The sequence below is a fragment of the Homo sapiens genome, chromosome 6 (genome assembly GCF_000001405.40).
Source record: "Homo sapiens chromosome 6, GRCh38.p14 Primary Assembly".
Classification (NCBI taxonomy): domain Eukaryota; kingdom Metazoa; phylum Chordata; class Mammalia; order Primates; family Hominidae; genus Homo; species Homo sapiens.
The window spans coordinates 30,698,811-30,717,349 of NC_000006.12; the positions used below are offsets into that span (position 1 = coordinate 30,698,811).

The window sequence follows — 18,539 nt, forward strand, 5'->3', positions numbered from 1 at the left end:
TTTACCACAGAGGCTGAACCATTTAACATTCCTACCAGCAATGTATAAGGATTCTAATTTCTCCACATCCTTGTAATCAACCAACTTTTAAAATTTAAATCTGGCTGGGCACGGTGGCTCAAGCCTGTAATCCCAGCACTTTTGGAGGCTGAGGTGGGTGGCTCACTTGAGGTCACGAGTTAGAGACCAGCTTGGGCAACATGACAAAACCTCGTCTCTACCAAAAATACAAAATTCATCGGGCATGGTTGCACACACCTATGGTCCCAGCTACTTGGGAGGCTGAGAGGAAAATCGTTTGAGCCCAGGAGGTCAAGGCTGCAGTAAGCCGACATCGAGCCACTGCACTTCAGCCTGGGCAACAGAGTGACACCTTGACTCAAAAAGATAAAAGGCCAGTCATGGCGGCTCATGCCTGTTATCCCAGCACTTTGGGAAGTCAAGACAGGTGGATCACCTGAGGTCAGGAGTTCGAGACCAGCATGGCCAACATGGTGAAACCCCGTCTCTACTACAAATACAAAAATTAGCCGGGTGTGGTGGCATGTGCCTGTAATCCCAGCTACTCGGGAGGCTGAGGTGGGTGGATCACTTGAGGTCAGAAGTTAGAGACCAGCCTGGGCAACATGACAAAACCTCATCTCTACCAAAAATACAAAAATTTAGTAGAGCCCCGTCTCTACTAAACAATAAAAAAAAGAAAATTAGCCAGGCATGGTGGTGTGTGCCTGCAGTCCTAGCTACTCAGGAGGCTGAGGTGGGACTATTGCTTGAACTGGGAGGTGGAGGTTGCAGTGAGCCAAGATGGTGCCACTGCACTCCAGCCTAGGTGACAGAGATGAGACCCTGTCTCAAGAAAAAAAAAAAAATCTTAAGAAATGTCATACAAATTGTCCTAAATAGAAGATAATGATGAATTAAATACAAGTCTATGACTTTTTTTTTTTTAAGTTTGTGTCTTGAGACCTAGACATTTTAAAAAACTACACTACACCATAAGGCACAGAGTGAATATTTATTTATCACAGAGGTCAAGCCGAAGCTCTAATTTTATAAATCCTGGAAAAGCTGGCCAGAAAAGTACAGAGACTTGCCCAAAGTCAAAGCTAAAGATGCTTCCAGAGGCCAGGAGAGAAGAAAATGTTTTAGTAGCACTCCATAACTGGACCCTCAAATCTACTCACTCCAAGCATCCCTTCAAGTTCCTGACCCCAAAGTAAGAATCTCAGTAAGAAAAAAATAGAGATGGTTTCCAAATAGGAGGTAGGACACCATGAGTGGCATCGAGCAATAACTGCAACAGTCTGGCTAAAGATAGCTGCCACTTATGACATCTGAGCATGAAACTAGCTAATTTTAAAATGGCCATTTAATACATGCATGTAAGAAATCTTGTATCCCCTAAATCTATACAAATAAAAAACTATAAATACAAATAAAATAAAATGGCCATTAAAAAAACAAACAAACAAACAAAAAACAACCTGTGGCTTCCAAATCCCTTATCTTTTCATTTATTCATAAAGATTTCTGGTCCCACCCATGTTCCAGGACAAGTTGTATCAATATACCCCAATCCTTTCTAACGCCCTGAGTTCTTTCTTCCACATATCTTCTAATTCGTGGTCTGGGAGGGAAAAGGGTAGTGGAGTTCTCAGGTGGATGACATCTCCAAAGGGGAGAGGACAAAGGCCTCTGGCTTGGCTTCCTGCTTCAGCACTCCAGTCAGCAGGAACTCAGGCGAGAGGAGGGGCAGCCCAACCCGTAGTGGAATGGAGCAATGAGGGAAGTCCTGAGGGCATGTGATCACAACTCTCTGAGGCTGGGGAAGACAGAGCAAAGGCAAAATCAGGTGAAAAAGAATCCTAGAAATGGGTTCAGGACCCACTAACCAGTCTTACCATCACTAAAATAATACCTCCTAATATGAAGCCAAGTGAAGCACACCGCATACTGTCTATGAAATACTCTTGCTAGGCCGGGCGCAGTGGCTCATGCCTGTAATTACACAGCACTTTGGGAGGCTGAGGCGGGTGGATCACGAGGTCAGGAGATCAAGACCACGGTGAAACCCTGTCTCTACTAAAAATACAAAAAAAAAAAAAAAAAAAAATTAGCCGGGCGCGCTGACGGGTGCCTGTCGTCCCAGCTACTCGGGAGGCTGGGGCAGGAGAATGGCGTGAAAACCCAGGAGGCGGAGCTTGCAGTGAGCCGAGATCGCGCCACTGCACTCCAGCCTGGGCTACAGAGCAAGACTCCATCTCAAAAGAAAAAAAAAAAGAAAAAAAAAAAAGAAATACTCTTGCTAGAGGCCAGGCACAGTGGCTCACGCCTATAATCCCAGCACTTTGGGAGGCCGAGGTGGGTGGATCACGAGGTCAAGAGATCGAGACCATCCTGGCCAACATGGTGAAACCCCGTCTTTAGTAAAAATAAAAAAATTAGCTGGGCGTGGTGGTGTGCGCCTGTAGTCCCAGCTACTCGGGAGGTTGAGGCAGGAGAACAGCTTGAACCCGGGAGATGGAGGTTGCAGTGAGCCAAGACTGCTCCACTGTACTCCAGCCTGGCGACAGAGTGAGACTCTCTCAAAAAAAAAAAATACTTTTGCTAGAAAGATGAACCTGAATTTATTCAAGCTTTTACAATTATCTGCAATTTCCAGGAAATATGGAGTACAGAGGAACAAGATAAATTATATGACAAGGAGGCAAACCCAAAATTCCAGACTGAGGAACATTCTAAAGGACAAGTGACCCAGCTTCTGCAGGAAATAGATGGCATAAAAAAAGCTGGGTGGGTTAAGGGATGCTCTAGAGTAAAGATAATTAAGAAGATAATAGGTGTGGCAGTATGTGGACCTTATTTGAATCCTGATTTGAACAACTGTATAGAGACATTTTTCAGACAATGGGAGAAATTTTATTAATGGAGTGTGAGCAAATGACCAATAAACTACTGTTAATTTTGCTTAGGATCAATAATGGCATTGTGATTATGAAATAAAATGTACGTATTTCTTAGAGATATATATTTAAGTATGTAGGAAGAAATAATATAATATTGGCAGTTTGCTTTAAAATATTTCAGCAAAGAAAGAGAAAGGAAAAAAAGAAAGAATAAAGAAAAATAAAAAGAAATGAAATACTTCAGCAAAGAAAATCAAAGGAAAAAGCCGGGCGCGGTGGCTCACGCCTGTAATCCCAGCACTTTGAGAGGCCGAGGCGGGCAGATCATGACCTCAGGAGATCAAGACCATCCTGGCTAACACAGTGAAACCCCATCTCTACTAAAAATACAAAAGAATTAGCCGGGCGTGGTGGCGGGCACCTGTAGTCCCAGCTACTCGGGAGGCTGAGGCAGGAGAATGGTGTGAACCCAGGAGGCGGAGATTGTAGTGAGCCGAGATTGTGCCACTGCACTCCAGCCTGAGAGTGAGACTCCATCTCAAAAAAAAAAAAAAAAAAAAAAAAAGAAAATCAAAGGAAAAAAGGGATAGATGGAGCAAATGTAGCATAATCTAAATTAAGCTGCTGCTGAATCTCGGTGATTGTTATATGGGGGTATCAGCAGATCTGTCCCCTCATTCCTATCCCTTTCTATACCATAGGTCTTTTCCCCCACCCTCTCACTACTTTATATTCCTTTCTGAACCTCCATTTTTTTCCCTCCAATCTTTGCCATTCCAGCCACCTCTTTAACTGCCACTGCCACCTCACCCAGACCCAGAACATCCTAAGCATACCTTATAGGACCGAGGCATGCTGGGTAGGTATGTGCCTCCACAGCAGCTAATAATCTCTCCCATCTGAGGTGGTGGTGGCTGGACTCCAGGGGTCACATAGATCTCATAGCCCTAAGAGAAAGAAATGATGGAGATGGTATTGTAGATTGGGAAGCACTGGAGGGAGGGCTGAAGCACAGGTTAAAAGATAGCCTCTCACCTCTAGCAGCCTTCGCTCCCGAGCCCTGCTCAGTGCGTCTTGAAGGCTAAAGCCAAAGTTCTTCTCTTGCTCAGGGTCGGTCACCACATATTCATCCGGGGGTAAGAAGAAACCAGCCTTGCGGGACTAAGGACGGCAGCAGTCAGCATCAAAGCTCAGCCCAGCCCCTCAATCAGCTCTGCTGCCTAGCATTTAGAGAGAGCTCACAAAATGTCTTTTAAATCAATGCAGGCTTCTGGCTCACCAATGCCCCTGTCTTCCTGTAACGCCTCTTCCCTTCCACCACTTTCTAGGGCACTATATGAGCAGTCTTGCCACTATATCGGTCTGTCATCATCCCTTGGCCTCTCACCTGATGCAGCCAGTCCAGGGACAGAATGGGGATTCCCCGCCCCAGGGCACACAGGAACTTGACTGTCCGGCGGATGCGATCAGTGACCAGGTGGGAAGCCTCTGCCGCTGAACCAGCCAGACTTCCCCCCAGTGCCAGCACAGCCCGCTCTCCCCGAGCATCCACCACTCCTGTGAAGAGCACCTGTGGAAGGGTTGACCTGAGGTGGTTACGGCAACCCATGCCATCAGCACCCATCTCTACAATCCTCTAGGTCTCCTTGCATCCTCCCCTCATCTCTGTCTCCCACAAAGTCCCATGCCTTTGTCTCTTACTTTGGGGGCTGTTGATTCTTGGTTAAGTTTGGTCCGTCGGAGGCTGCGGCTTGGTATTCTGTTGGGCTCCTCCTCTGCCTGGTCTCTCTTTCTCTTGCCTGGTTTTGGAGTCACGACATCCTGAGATTGAGAAAAATCTTGGTGGGAGTTTCAGAGCCCTGAAGTCATTTTTCCCAGCTTTGTGGTCCCAACCCTCTCCTCACCTCTTCCTTCCCTGGCTTCTCTGCAGTATCTTCTTCCTCTTCCTTGATAATCACTGTCTTCTGGGAGACTTCCCCTCTTTGGGGCTGTTTTTGATGTGGTGGTGAATCCATGGTAGCTAAAGACCTCTTGCGGCTTTGAGAGGCCTTAGGCTGGAGCTCCGGGGTGAACCTAGATCTACCTGCTGGTTCCACCTTTTGGATCTGGGAGGCATGAATTGGTGTCTCAAGAAGCTGGGGAGAGGCAGGCTCAGGAATGGCTGTAAGGGATTCAGCTGCTCTCACTGCTCCCCATCTTTGGTTCCTTGAGGCCTGGGATTTAGGTTCCAAGGGTGCAGAGCAAGGCTTATGGTCAATGGGAGCTGCGAGGGAGCCAGGGTTCCCAGCGGCTCTCTGCCTCTTGATGCAACTGGGTTGAGTAATAGGCTCAGGGGAAATAGGCTGGTCTGTGGTGACAGGAGATTGGAATTCAGGGGTGGTAGGAACCGGCATAGCTCTTACTGTGGAAGACCTCAGTGTTTTGCTCTGACCACCCTGAGCTATGGCCTCAGGGGTGACGGACTGGTCTGTGGGGGTAAAAGGCTCAAGATCAGAGGCTGCTGGTTCAACTGGTTTGGGAGTCTTGACAGAGGACCTATTTGTCTTTCTCCTAGTGGCCCTAGATGTGAGCTTGGGGGTGACAGGCTGGTCTGTGGAGGTGGTAGGATGGGGCTCAGGGGCTGTGGGGACAACTGGCTCAGGGGTCTTGACAGAGGACCTATTTGTCCTGCACCTAGTGGCCCGAGATGTGGGCTCAGGGGTGACAAGCTGGTTTCTGGAGGTGGAAGGCTGAAGCTCAGGGGCTATAGGGACAATTGATTCAGGGGTCTTGACAGAGGACCTATTTGTCCTGCCCCTAGTGGCCCGAGATGTGGGCTCAGGGGTGACAGGTTGGTCTGTGGAGGTGGAAGGCTGGAGCTCAGGGGCTGCGGGCACAACTGTTTCAGGGGTCTTGACAGAGGACCGATTTTTTCTTCCCCTAGTGGTCCGAGATGTGGGCTCAGAGGTGACAGGCTGGTCTGTGGAGGCGGAAGCCTGTAGCTCAGGGGCTGTGGGGACAACTGTTTCAGGAGTCTTGACAGAGGATCTATCTGTTCTTCCCCTAGTAGCCTGAGACGTAGGCTCAGGGGTAACAGGCTGGTCTGTGGAGGTGGAAGGCTGGAGCTCAGGGGCTGTGGGGACAACTGTTTCAGGGGTCTTCACAGAGGACCTATTTGTCCTGCCCCTGGTGGCCTGAGATGTGGGCTCAGGAGTGACAGGTTGGTCTGTGGAAGTGGAAGGCTCGAGCTTAGGGGCTGTGGGGACAAGTGTTTCAGGGGTCTTGCCAGAGGATCTATTTTTTCTTCCCCTAGTAGCCCGAGATGTGGGCTCAGGGGTGACAGGCTGCTCTGTGGAGGTGGAAGGTGGGAGCTCAGGGGCTATAGGGACAGTTGATTCAGGGTTCTTCACAGAGGACATATTTGTCCTGCTCCTAGTGGTCCGAGATGTGGGCTTAGGGGTGACAGGTTGGTCTGTGGAGGTGGAAATCTGGAGCTCAGGGGCTGTGGGGACAACTGTTTCAGGGGTCTTGACAGAGGACATATTTGTCCTGCTCCTAGTGGTCCGAGATGTGGGCTTGGGGGTGACAGGTCGGTCTGTGGAGGTGGAAGGCCGGAGCTCAGGGGCTGTGGGCACAACTGGTTCAGGGGTCTTGACAGAGGATCTATTTTTTCTTCCCCTAGTAGCCTGATATGTGGGCTCAGAAGTGACAGGCTGGTCTGTGGAGGTGGAAGGCTGGAGCTCAGGGGCTGTGGGGACAACTGGTTCAGGGGTCTTGACAGAGGATCTATTTTTTCTTCCCCTAGTAGCCTGAGAGGTGGGTTCAGAGGTGACAGGTCGGTCGGTGGAGGTGGAAGGCTGGAGCTCAAGGGCTGTGGGCACAACTGTTTCAGGGGTCTTGACAGAGGATCTACTTTTTCTTCCCCTAGTAACCTGAGATGTGGGCTCAGAGGTGACAGGCTGGTCTGTGGAGGTGGAAGGCTGGAGCTCAGGGGCTGTGGGGACAACTGGTTCAGGGGTCTTGACAGAGGACCTATTTGTCCTGCTCCTAGTGGCCTGAGATGTGGGCTTGGGAGTGACTGGCTGGGCTGTGGAGGTGGAAGGGTGGGGCTCAGGGGCAGCAGAGGTAGCTGGAAAGGGTGTCATTCTGGAGGACTTCCGAGTTCTAATTTTAGGCTTTGGGTGGAAAGGCTCCAGCTCTGAGGACAAGGGAGCCTCTGGAGCTTCCTGACTCCCATCTTGCCTGGTCTTACGAACGGTTGGCTTGATAGAAGGTAAAAGGGGAGAAAGAAGGGGCGGAGGTGCAAGATGTTTCTGGCTCTGAGAGTTAAGGGGCTTTTGGGGTGGGGCTGGGGCTTCAGGTACTGTAGGAGGCAGACAAGCATCTGGAGATTCCTGATCGCCCTAGGGAGAAACAGAAGCAAGTGAGGGGGAGGAGGTGGAGAAAAGAGATAGAACTTGGATACTGTTCTTGATACTTGTTTATGGTTAGATAGGCTTACCAGATTTCCACCGGGCGTGGTGGCTCACGGCTATAATCCCAGCACTTTGGGAGGCCGAGGCGGGCGGATCACGAGGTCAGGAGTTCAAGACCAGCCTGGCCAACATAGTGAAACCCCGTCTCTACTAAAAATACAAAAAAAAAGGCCAGGCATGGTGGCTGATGCCTGTAATCCCAGCACTTTGGGAGGCCGAGGCGGGTGGATCACAAGGTCAGGAAACCGAGACCATCCTGGCTAACACGGTGAAACCCCGTCTCTACTAAAAAATACAAAAAATTAGCCGGGCGTGGTGGCGGGCGCCTGTAGTCCCAGCTACTTGGAAGGCTGAGGCAGGAGAATGGCGTGAACTCGGGAGGCGGAGCTTGCAGTGAGCCGAGATGGTGCCACTGCACTCCAGCCTGGGGGACAGAGCAAGACTCTGTCTAAAAAAAAAAAAAAAAAAAAAAAAAATTAGCTAGGTGTGTTGGCAGGCGCCTAGTAGTCCCAGCTACCTGGGAGGCTGAGGGAGGAGAGTCGCTTGAACCCGGGAGGCAGAGGTTGCAGTGAGCCAAGATCGCGCCACTGCACTCCAGCCTGGGTGACAGAGTGAGACTGTCTCAAAAAAAACAAAAAAATACACAAAAATTAGCCGGGTGACATGCGCCTGTAGTCCCAGCTACTTGGGAGGCTGCGGCAGGAAAATTGTTTGAACCCAAGAGACGGAGGTTACAGTAAGCTGAGATCACGCCACTGCACACTCCAGCCTGGGTGACAGAGACAGACTCTGTCTCAAAAAAGAACAAAAACAAAAAATATGCTCACTGGATTTTCCTTTCTGTCTATGATCTCTCCTCCATTAGACTGGGATCTACCTGGGAAGCTACCTTTTTCCCACAGACCTGTCTCCATAATGCTACTATAGTGTTCTCCACACGTGGATGATGGTAAGGAAAAGGATGGCTGGGGCAAAGAAAGAAGAAACACGAAGGGTCTTTCTTTTGAGTCAGGTAGGAGATACAACTTAGGAAACAGATATGGAAAACAACGGGTGCCGAGGATAAAGGAATAGAAGCCAATCAAGGCGTGACAAAAATGGAAGAAAACTGAATAATGAGAAAGGAATAGATTAAAGTGAGGCTAGGTGAAAGAGCATTGGAGAAGATATAGAGATGACTTGTGGAATAGGAGGTAGAAAAAGTAGCTCTCACCCTGGAAACCTTCTCAGCAGCTCTGATCCTGGAAGCCTTCTCAGCAGGTGGCATCTTGCAATTCAGGAGGCCTAGACAGAAAGTAAACACAAAGGTGGCTGAGTTCCAAGCAGCTGGTTGCCCAGGGGTTGATTATCACGAGGCCTGTGTATCACCTTGGGTTCCCCTCTGCCTTCACTTACCTTTCTGATGCCTCCTGGGGCTCACTGGGGATCCCCTTCCACCTGACTGGCTCCCAGAAGGTACGGGGGCTGAGGTAGGTCCCGGAAGGTCCCCCGCCCCCACCCCAGGCTCTGGTGTTGGGCTGGAGGCCTGCCCTTTCTGGTCCTGGCTCCCTCCCTCTGGCTCCCCTCTCTGTGTATCTCTCTCCAGGATCACTTTGGGCACCTTCTCTTCTAACTCGGCTGGATCGCACTCTCTGTTTGCTACTGGTCTCTCTACTTCTCTCTCAAATGCTTTGCTTGGAAGGGTCTGCTTCTGTACTTGTTTCTCTTGTATTTCCTCAGATGTCTCAATTTCTACCTTCAAACTCTCCCTATCTCTTTCAGGACTTGCACTTTCCCCATTTTTGTCAGATTCTTGTCTCTGGGTGTCTCTAGCTAACAACTGTTTTTGTTCTCTGTCCTGTTTCCCCTTGGTTAATTCTTCCTCTCCTGTCACATCTGTCTGTCTTTCTGGTAGCAGTTTCTCAGTTTCTCTCTCCAATGGCCCTCTCTCAGGGCCCACCCTCTCTGCTGTTTCTTTTGGTATACCCATGACTTTATCCACAGTCTGCCTCCCTCTGCCTTGAATCCCCATTGGCTCTGTGTGAACTGGGCTCTCTGGATGTTGGTCTCCTGGTATTGCCCTAGGTGGAGACAGGCAAGGTCCATAGGCCTCAAGGTGCGTGTCAAAAGGCTGGGTCTCAGAGTCCTCAGACTCTCTCAGACAGAATGGCTGTGTAGCCAGGACCTCCCATGGTTCATCTAGGGTACCTGGAAGGGGAGGAAGGAAGAGAGAGAGAGGGAGAGGGAGAGAAAAGAGGGAGAGGAAGAGGGAAAGGGAAGTACAGGTTGACATAATAAATATGATGAGAAAGGATTTAGATAAACTCATGAATAATAAATCTGAACAGGTTATTAAAGGTAAGCTGGGAATAAGGGTGGTAGTTATAACATTTAACGTTTGTCTCAAAAAGGTCATAGCCTTAGGCGGGCATGGTGGCTCAGACATGTAATCCCAGGACTTTGGGAGGCCAAGACATGAGGATTGCTTGAGGCCAGGAGTTTGAGACTAGCCTGGACAACATGGCAAAACCCCATCTCTACAAAAAATACAAAAAAATTAGGTGTGGGGACGGGGACCTGTAGTCCTGTAGTCTCAGCTACCCGGGAGGCTGAGGTAGGAGAACTACTTGAACCCCAAAGGTCAAGACTGTAGTGAGCTGTGATCATACCACTGCACTTCAGCCTGAGTGACAGAGACTCTGTCTCAAAAAAAAAAAAAAAAAAAAACCCAAGAGAAAAAGAAAAACATCATAGCCTAATATGAGTTCCCTGAATAGTCTCTCATCATACCACTGCATTCCAGCCTGAGTGACAGAGACCCTGTCTCAAAAAAAGAAAGAAAGAAAGAAAGAAAGAAAAACATCATAGCCTAATAAGAGAGTTCCCTGAATAGTCTCTCTCTCTCAAGACAGTTTCACTCTGTCACCCAGGCTGGAGTGCAGTGGCATGATGTTGGCTCACTGCAACTCCCAACTGCTGGGCTCAGGAGATCCTCCCACCTCAGCCTCCCAAGTAGCTGGGACTACGGCATGTGCCAAAGTGCCCGGCTAATTTTTTGTATTTGTTGTAGAGATGGGGTTTGGTCTTGAACTCTTAGACTCAAGTGATCCACCCACATTGGTCTCCCAAAGTGCTGGGATTACAGGTGTGAGCCACCATGCTTGGCTGGAATTTCCTTCTTTTTAAAGGCTGAATAGTATTCCACTGTGTATATATACCACATTTTCTTTTTTCTTCATTGACACATAATAATTGTACATATTTATGGGGTACCTGTGCTATTTTGACTCATGCATACAATGTACAATGATAAAACCAAGATAATTGGGATATCCACTATCTCAAACATTTATCATTTCTTTGTCTTGGAAACATATCAAATCTCTTCTAGCTATTTTGAAATACACAATAAATTATTAACTATAGTAACACTACTGTGGAACTGAACACTAGAACTTATTCATTCAATCTGACTGGATTTTTGTATTCATTAACCAACCTCTTTATGCATTCTGTCCCTCTACCCTTCCTAGCCTTTGGTAACCACCATTCTACTCTCTACTTCCATGAGATCCATGTTTTTAGCTCCCACATGAGTGAGCATACAATATTTGCCTTTCTGTGCTGACTTATTTCACTTAACATAATGTCCTCAGGGTTCATCCATGTTGCTGCAGATGACAGGATTTCATTCTCTTCTGTTGCTGAATACTGTTCCACTGTGTATATATACACATTTTCTTTTTTTTTTAGATTGAGTCTTGCTCTGTCACCCAGTTTGGAGTGCAGTGGCATGACCTCAGCTCACTGCAACCTCTGCGTCTTAGGCAGCAATCCTCCCATCTTAGCCTCCCGAGTAGCTAAGACTACAGGTGCATGCCACCATGCCCAGCTAAATTTTGTATTTTGAGCCACTGCACCCAGCCTATATACACATTTTCTTTTTTTTTATTATTAGAGATGAAGTCTCACTCTGTTGCCCATGTTGGAGTGCAGTGGTGTGACCTTGGCTCACTGCAACCTCTGCCTCCGGGGTTCAAATGAGTCTCCTGCTTCAGTCTCCCGAGTAGCTGGGACTACAGGCACCTGCCACCATGCCCAGCTAATTTTTGTATTTTTAGTAGAGACAGGGTTTCACCATGTTGGCCAGGCTGGTCTCAAACTCCTGACCTCATGTGATCCACCCACTTCGGCTTCCCAAAGTGCTGGGATTACAGGCATGAGGCACTGTGCCCGGCCTACATTTTCTTTTCTTTCGTTTTTTTGAGACAGAGTTTCACTCTTGTTGCCCAGGCCAGAGTGCGATGGCACAATCTCAGCTCACTGCAACCTCTGCCTCCTGGGTTCAAGGGATTCTCCTGACTCAGTCTCCTGAGTAGCTGGGATTACAGGCATGCACCACCACACCCGGCTAATTTTGTATTTTTAGTAGAGACGGGGTTTCTCCATGTTGGTCAGGCTGGTCTCAAGCTCCCGATCTCAGGTGATCTGCCTGCCTTGGCCTCCCAAAGTGTTGGGATTAGAGGTGTGAGCCACTGTGCCCGACCCCGGCCTACATTTTCTTTATCCATTCATCTGTTGATGGACATTTAGTTTGATTTCATATCTGCCTATTGTGAACAGTGCTGCAATAGTGTGTGTGTGTTTTTTTTAAGAGACATTGGGGGTGGGGGTTGAGGGATGGGCTATTGCCCAGACTGGGCTCAACTGATCTTCCCATCCTGGCCTCCCATGTAACTGGGACTACAGGTGCTCACTACTATGCTGGGCTAATTTTTTCATTTTTGTGGAGACCAGGTCTCTCTCTGTTGCCCAGGCCAGTCCCTAAATATTTTCAACCTGCAGCTGGTTGAATTCACGGACGCAAACTCGCATACACAGAGGGCTCACTGTAATCAGAGTATGAAAGAAACATGTAGGAAGGCAAATCAAGAAAGAACGCAGGCCGGGCGCAGTGGCTTACGCCTGCAATTCCAGCATTTTGGGAGGCCGAGGCAGGCGGATCACTTGAGGTCGGGAGTTTGTGACCAGCCTGGCCAACATGGTGAAACCCTGTCTCTACTAAACATACAAAAAATTAGCCAGGCATGGTCATGGACAGCTGTAATCCCAGCTACCTGGGAAGCTGAAGGAAGAGAAACCGCCTGGGAGGCGGAGGTTACAGTGAGCCGAGACTGCACCACTGTAATCCAGCCTGAGTGACAGAGGAAAAAAAAGAGAATGCAGAATTGGGGACACAGAGGAGGGAAGAGTTTCTTATACCTGTTGTCTGGAAGCTGCAATGGGAAGGGCCAAGCTCTTGGGGTGGAGTCAACATGAAGGCCTGGGTAGGTTCATCCTCCATGCTCTGGACTGCTGTACAGGAAAAGATGGCCTAAGTTCATCTCCTCCATACTACTGTAGGGTTCCATTCCTGGTCTCCTACCCTACCCATACTAGCCTTTACCCTTCAAGGACCACCAGTCTAATCTCCCAGCTCCCACTGGTACAGGATTCAAATAACACAGAAGTCCTCACCTTCCAGGCCCTGATTCTCCAGAAAGCACTGGGTAGCTTGTAGGTCCAGATCTTCAGAATCTGGTCGGGGAGGAATATAAGACAGTTTAAAACAAAAATCATACCTGACACTAAACTCCTTAAATAATCTCTACCTTTCTCTCCCCAACCCCAGCTGTTAGAACCCTGGTTGATTTCAGAGGTCTAGGAAGGAAGGCCAGCACTTACCACCATAGTTGTCTTCAGAGTCCTTGGTCCCACCCACATGTTGTTCTCTCTCCCTTCCTGTGGGGACCTGGGCTCCCTCTCTCTGTGGCTGGGTGGATTCCCCTAGAGTGTCTGTGTCCACCACCAGATCTGTGAGGTTCTCTCTTGAGATAGGGAGGTCCTGCTCCACTTGTGCCACAGGTGGCCCACCCTGGGCCCCCACCTCATGAGCTCTCTCCTGCTTAAGAACAGCTGCAGCCCACTCTGCCCCAGCATCCCCTTCTGCTGGAAGCTGGCTCTTTCTTACATCTGCAACTACTGAGGCTGTTAGGGAGGTGCCCTCCTCTGCATCTGTTTCACAGTCCCCATGCAGAGGCCAGGCTTCCTCTAGAGATACCACAAGCAGCTTTGCTGGTCCCCCAACTGCTTTCACATCTGTTTGATTTGTCCCCTCCACAGACACCTGATGCTTCTTTATATGTATAATGGCTGACCCTGGCGGGACTTCCTTCTCCACTTGTGTGTTGATGTCCACTGTGGTGGAGGCTTGGCTTCTCTCCAGGTGGATCCCAGGTGAGCTCTTATCTGCTTCCACACTGTCATCACTGTCCCCAAAAGGAGGTTGGTCCTTTTCTGAATGTGCTCTAACAAGGGCTCTAATCTTTGTGTGATCCTTGAGGACAGCTTCTCTATTTTCCACTGGGAGCTCTTCCTCCTCCACGTCTGTGTCACTGTCTCTCTCAGTGGTGGTTTGGCTTCGCTGCAGAAGGACCACACGTTGGGGCATGTCCTCTTCTGCATCTCTGTTCCATATAGCAGGCTGGCTCTCTTTCAGATGTGCCAAAGTCAGCGCTGCTGAGACTTCTTCCTCGTCATCTGTATCGCTGTTGATAACCATGGAAGCTTGGCTTTTCTCCAGAGGGACAGCCTGTGGGGCCTTGCCTTCTTCCACATCTGTATCACTACCAGCCTGGCTCTCCTGCAGATGGGCCAGGCCTGGTGCTCCAGGACCCCTTGTACCTACTCCATGGAAGATCTTCCTCTTCTTCATAGGAATGACAACTGGGGTTGCTGGGATCCTCTCTTCTTCCGCATCAGTGTCGCTGTCGATGAAGCCAAAAGGCTGAGCCCTTTCCAAATGGACCTCAGCTGGCCTTCCAGGAGGCCTGCTGTCATCATCCACATCTGTGTCACTGTCCTCTCCAGGAGGTTGGCTCCTCTCCAGAATCACCCCAGCTGGAACCACCCCATTCCCTGCACCCCTCTTGACTTTTGTATCATTGTCCCTCTCCTTCACTAAAGGCTGATCCTTTTCAAGCTGGATTTCAGTTACAACTTCAGCTTCAGACTGCTTTGCCTCTACAGTGGCACCTCTTCTGGCAGCTGAGGAGGCCTCCTCTGTGGCTGGTTGCTGACCTTCTTCCACATCTGTGTCACTGTTCAAATTGAAGGCAAAAGGCGGCCCAAGGCCGCCCAGGACCGGGGAATGCCCCTCTTCATCACTGTGAAGGGAAGAAAAGAGAGTCTATAGAATTTATTTCCCTGGAAGGGATACCCCAACTCAACTGTGAGCTCCTTGAGGGGAGACACAAGGTAGCATATTTCTTCTTCTGTTTCCAATTTGTTTTCCACTTGGCACATCAGATGTGCTCCATAAAAATTCAGCTGAGTGAATGAATATGTATGGTTCCCCAGCCCCAACTCTCATGATAATCATCTCTTTTAGAGATTGATCCTCCAGCCCCTGGTTCTTCCTCATTTTGAAGACTCAGGTGTCTGACTCTTTGGCACTCACCTCTCTGGAACTATCACAGAGGAAGATGTGGTCCTTGATTTTTTTACCATACGCCTTTCAGAAAGAAAATCTGTCAAGAACAGAAAGGAATGAGTTGACAATTGTACACTCATTATTCCTGTCTCCTCATTCTCCCTGCCAATATACAAACTTACCTACTTCCTCCTCCGAGTCCTCAGCCAACAGAAGCCTCTGGGGTTGAGTTTCTCCCTGTACTCTGGGTGTCTCTTCTACTGTCAGAGGGCCCCGGGAGACAAAGGGCAGAGAGACATCCAGGCGATGGTACTGGCAGAGCAAGTCAGCAAAGAGAATCAATTCCTGGTCCCTCAGACGGTGACTCACCCCAGGGCTCAAAACCTTAGGAGGTCTCAGGATTTGAGTACCATTAAGGCTCCCACAGTCTCGGAGGATAGGTGCCTTGTCCCAGGCTAAGATTTCAATCTCTGCATGTTGTTTGGAGATAGATGGAAAGGGCAGGGCCACAGAGCAGTCAGGCATTCGGCCTACCACATTCTTCCCGAGGTGTAGTGGGAAATCTAAGAATTAGAGAGGTAGATAAGCTCCAAGATCAGAGTCCTGGCCTGTCATTAGGAAAAAGTGCCTATTAGGTACTCTACTACTCACTCAAGGCCTCCATATGCATTAGAAAAATAAAAGGCCCTAGGACATCTAGGCACTGAAAGAGTATATGCGATACCCCATCCATCCACAATGGATGTTTTTTTACTGTTATAAAATACACATAACACAAAATGTATCACCTTAATAATTTTAAGTGTATAGTTCAGTGGCATTAAGTGCATTCACACTGTTGTGCAATCATCACTACCATCCATCTCCAGAGCACACAATTGGATTTTATTTGATTTTTTTTTTTTTTTTGAGACAGGGTCTCATTCTGTCACCCAGGCTAGAATGCAGTGTCATGATCATAGATCAGTGCAATCTTGAACTCTTGGGTTCAAGTGATCATCTGGCTCAGCCTCCCAAGTAGGTGGGACTGCAGATGTGAAATGAACCACCACACCTGGCTAATTTTTAAATTTTTCGTAGAGACAGGGTTTTGCTATGCTACCCAGGCTGGTCTCTAACTCCTAGTCTCAAGTGATCCTTCTGCCTTGGCCTCTCAAAGCACGGGAATTACAGGTGTGAGTCACTGCACCCAGCTTCATTTCAATCTCTTAATTTTCTTTTATCAAAGTAAAATCACTTCCAGTGAGTCCAGGGTAGTAGTCTGCAACTATCAACTCAATCGGCCCCATCTCTTCCATTCATGAAAAAAAAAAATTCACATCTCATTGAAACATACATAAGCTTCTTGCAACCCTCCAAATACCTTACCACAAAAATAAAAGATCTATATCAATACTTGAACATCCAATACCCTCTGACCTTTTTCTGGTCCATGGGCACCACTAAAGATATGTAGCCGCCCTACTGGCTCCACGTTACACCTCAAGGATTCACTGGATTGCTCTGTCTCCTCCTCTTCTTCAACATCCCAGTCAATAGCCTGGGTGTCCTCCATGATCTGGGAAGGATACACATTATCAATTATCCTCATTATTGGTTCACACAAACAGCATCAGAGTTATCAGACTGAAAACTAGGGGGTAAACTGGATCATTATGAACGTTGATGCTTCTCTTTCCACCAATCTTTCTGTTGTTAACCTTCTGAAGCACTTAAAACATTTTTTTCTTTTTTGTGATGGAGTCTCGTTCTGCTCCCCAGGCTGGCATGCAGTGGTAAGATCTTGGGCCCACGGCAACCTCTGCCTCCCGGGTTTCAAGCAATTCTCTCACCTCAGCCTCCCAAGTAGCTGAGATTACAGGCACCTGCCACCATGCCTGGCTAATTTTTGTATTTTTAGAAGAGATGGGGTTTTGCCATATTGGCCAGGGTGGACTCGAACTCTTGACCTTGGGTGATCCGCCCACCTTGGCCTCCCAAAGTGCTGGGATTACAGGCGTGAGCCACTGCGCCCCGTTGTTTTTCTTTCTTTTTTAGCCCATGCTTTTTATACTTTTACCAGACCACCTCAGTTTGATCAGATGCAACTGCAAAAAATGATAATAAAAGATGACATATATAGAAGCTTCCTATGTGTCAAGCACTGTTCTAATTACTTTATATCGACTCTGACTCATTTAATCTTCACAAGAACCTTGTAAAGTAGTATTACTATCTTCCATTTCTTCAGATAAAGAAACTGCAACATAGCTGGGTTAAGATTTTCAGATCTCCTTGAAACATACATAAGCATATATAAGGTTAAGACTTGCCCCAAATCACTCAGATGTCTCTCCTCTAAAATCTTGATGGTTTTTCGTGCACACAGAATAAAATCTAAACTCCTTAGCGAGACCCTCCATGATCTGAACTTCACATCTTGTAACGCCTACCCCTCGCCCGCAAAAGCCTATGGTTCAGCCAGACATTTTCCCCAGTCTTCGAACACACTGTTCTTGTCTTCCCACATCTTCATGCCTTAGCCCAATTCCTTGGCTTTTTCCCACCTAGTTTTCTGGTCCAACTTCTACCATCCTTTAAGATTCAGTTCAAATGTCACTTTCTTTCTTTTTTTTTTTTTTGAGATGGAATCTCGCTCTGTCGTCCAGGCTGGACTGCAGTGGTGCTATCTTGGCTCACTGCAACCTCTGCCTCCAGGCTTCAAGCGATTCTCCTGCCTCAGCCTCCCGAGCAGCTGGGATTACAGGCGCCCGGCATCACGCCTGGCTAATTTTTGTATTTTTAGTAGAGACGGGGTTTCACCACGGTCTCGAGCTCCTGACCTCAGGTGATCCGCCCACCTTGGCCACCCAAAGTGTTGGGATTACAGCAGTGAGCAACCGCGCCCGGCCTCAAATGTCACTTTCTCAGCAAACCCTTTCCTGGCGTGTTCCCTGCCTTCTCGTGTTCCTGGTGTATCCTGCCTGTTCCACAGTGGTCAATGGATTTGTGCTTACTCTAAGATCTCTCGCTATATTGTAACCATTACTTTCCATTTCTGCCTTCACACTCACCCACCTCCAGGACTGGATTAGGGGAACCGTGTCTTTCCCCTAGGGTCCATCATATTCATTCAATGGTTATGGTATACCTGTTTGAAGTATTTGGTATACATCTGTGAACCAAACATGAAATCGACCCTGCCCTCGGGAAGGCTCATCACCGAGCCTACTGATGAAGGAACAAATGAGATGGAAAGAAAATAGCATAAATGGAATTCACCTGAAAATATGCCACTCTAGAGGGAAACTGTTGACAGGTAGGGAAAGTAGGATGCCCCATGGATAAAGTGTCAACTCCGTCTTTATGACAGGCCAACTCAGCGGGTGCCCACCACGCTTGGCTCCAATTCAAAGAGCCACCATCTTTGGTCCCCACCTCAGTGGGTTCCCTTGTGGCCCGACGTCTCCCTGTGTCTTCATACCTAAACTCGGAGCGGGGCGCCAGGTAAGGATGAGTATTACAGTCCGAGAAGCGAACTTCCAAGTCACCTCCGCCCAGTCGCACCCAAGGTACGCCCCTCCCGCCTTCTGGGGGAACCAAGATGGCTCCCGGGGAGCCGTGGGCCAGGCCCCTAGAACTCACCTACTTTAAGTCCCCGCGCGCGCCACCAGTAACGGTCGCGACCCAGGTGGAGCGACTGCGTGTGCCGAAAAAGAGCTTATTTGCTGATTGGCTTCTGCCGCTGTC

General features: G+C 48.5%; 1 protein-coding gene and 1 long non-coding RNA gene across 19 annotated transcripts, besides 2 other annotated features; one reads left to right on the plus strand and one right to left on the minus strand.

The window, feature by feature from the left end:
- Window positions 1-996: 996 nt before the first annotated feature.
- Window positions 997-18,471, minus strand: MDC1 (mediator of DNA damage checkpoint 1). Of its 18 annotated transcripts, none has more exons than XM_047419582.1 (16): window positions 18,435-18,471; window positions 16,778-16,897; window positions 16,230-16,368; window positions 14,993-15,373; window positions 14,838-14,907; window positions 13,064-14,544; window positions 12,857-12,916; window positions 12,602-12,694; window positions 8,756-9,547; window positions 8,574-8,644; window positions 4,811-7,288; window positions 4,608-4,727; window positions 4,294-4,476; window positions 3,942-4,067; window positions 3,743-3,853; window positions 997-1,822 (listed from the first exon to the last, which is right to left on the minus strand). In XM_047419582.1, the coding sequence occupies exons 3-16, from the start codon at window positions 16,363-16,365 to the stop codon at window positions 1,655-1,657; spliced, it is 6,270 nt and encodes a 2,089-aa protein (XP_047275538.1). In that variant the 5' UTR covers window positions 16,366-16,368; window positions 16,778-16,897; window positions 18,435-18,471; the 3' UTR covers window positions 997-1,654. The 18 variants fall into 18 exon arrangements, with proteins under 18 accessions (XP_047275538.1, XP_047275540.1, XP_047275541.1 ...); XM_047419584.1 differs by lacking the exon at window positions 16,778-16,897 and adding an exon at window positions 18,228-18,273; XM_047419585.1 differs by lacking the exon at window positions 16,778-16,897 and adding an exon at window positions 18,072-18,273 and having other exon boundaries at window positions 9,326-9,547; window positions 12,602-12,691.
- Window positions 1,710-2,211: an enhancer, noted in NCBI's record as "H3K4me1 hESC enhancer chr6:30668297-30668798 (GRCh37/hg19 assembly coordinates)". NCBI's record gives its function as "activates a minimal SCP1, AML or CMV promoter by ChIP-STARR-seq in primed H9 embryonic stem cells {active_cell/tissue: H9 hESC(primed)}" and the evidence as "EXISTENCE:reporter gene assay evidence [ECO:0000049][PMID:30033119]".
- Window positions 4,257-14,374, plus strand: MDC1-AS1 (MDC1 antisense RNA 1). Its single transcript, NR_133647.1, has 3 exons — window positions 4,257-4,383; window positions 13,502-13,615; window positions 13,878-14,374. It is a non-coding gene; the product is annotated as an MDC1 antisense RNA 1 (long non-coding RNA).
- Window positions 17,120-17,867: an enhancer, noted in NCBI's record as "H3K27ac-H3K4me1 hESC enhancer chr6:30683707-30684454 (GRCh37/hg19 assembly coordinates)". NCBI's record gives its function as "activates a minimal SCP1, AML or CMV promoter by ChIP-STARR-seq in naive H9 embryonic stem cells {active_cell/tissue: H9 hESC(naive)}" and the evidence as "EXISTENCE:reporter gene assay evidence [ECO:0000049][PMID:30033119]".

Excerpts from the sequence above, each read along its gene's own strand:
- MDC1 (XM_047419580.1), bottom strand. The coding sequence starts at position 18,131 with ATGGGGCATCCTACTTTCCCTACCTGTCAACAGTTTCCCTCTAGAGTG. Across the intron at positions 8,645-8,755 it reads CCCCAGGAGGCATCAGAAAG|GCCTCCTGAATTGCAAGATG; the intron begins GTAAGTGAAGGC and ends CTTTCTGTCTAG. Across the intron at positions 4,728-4,810 it reads AGAAGCCAGGGAAGGAAGAG|GATGTCGTGACTCCAAAACC; the intron begins GTGAGGAGAGGG and ends TCTCAATCTCAG.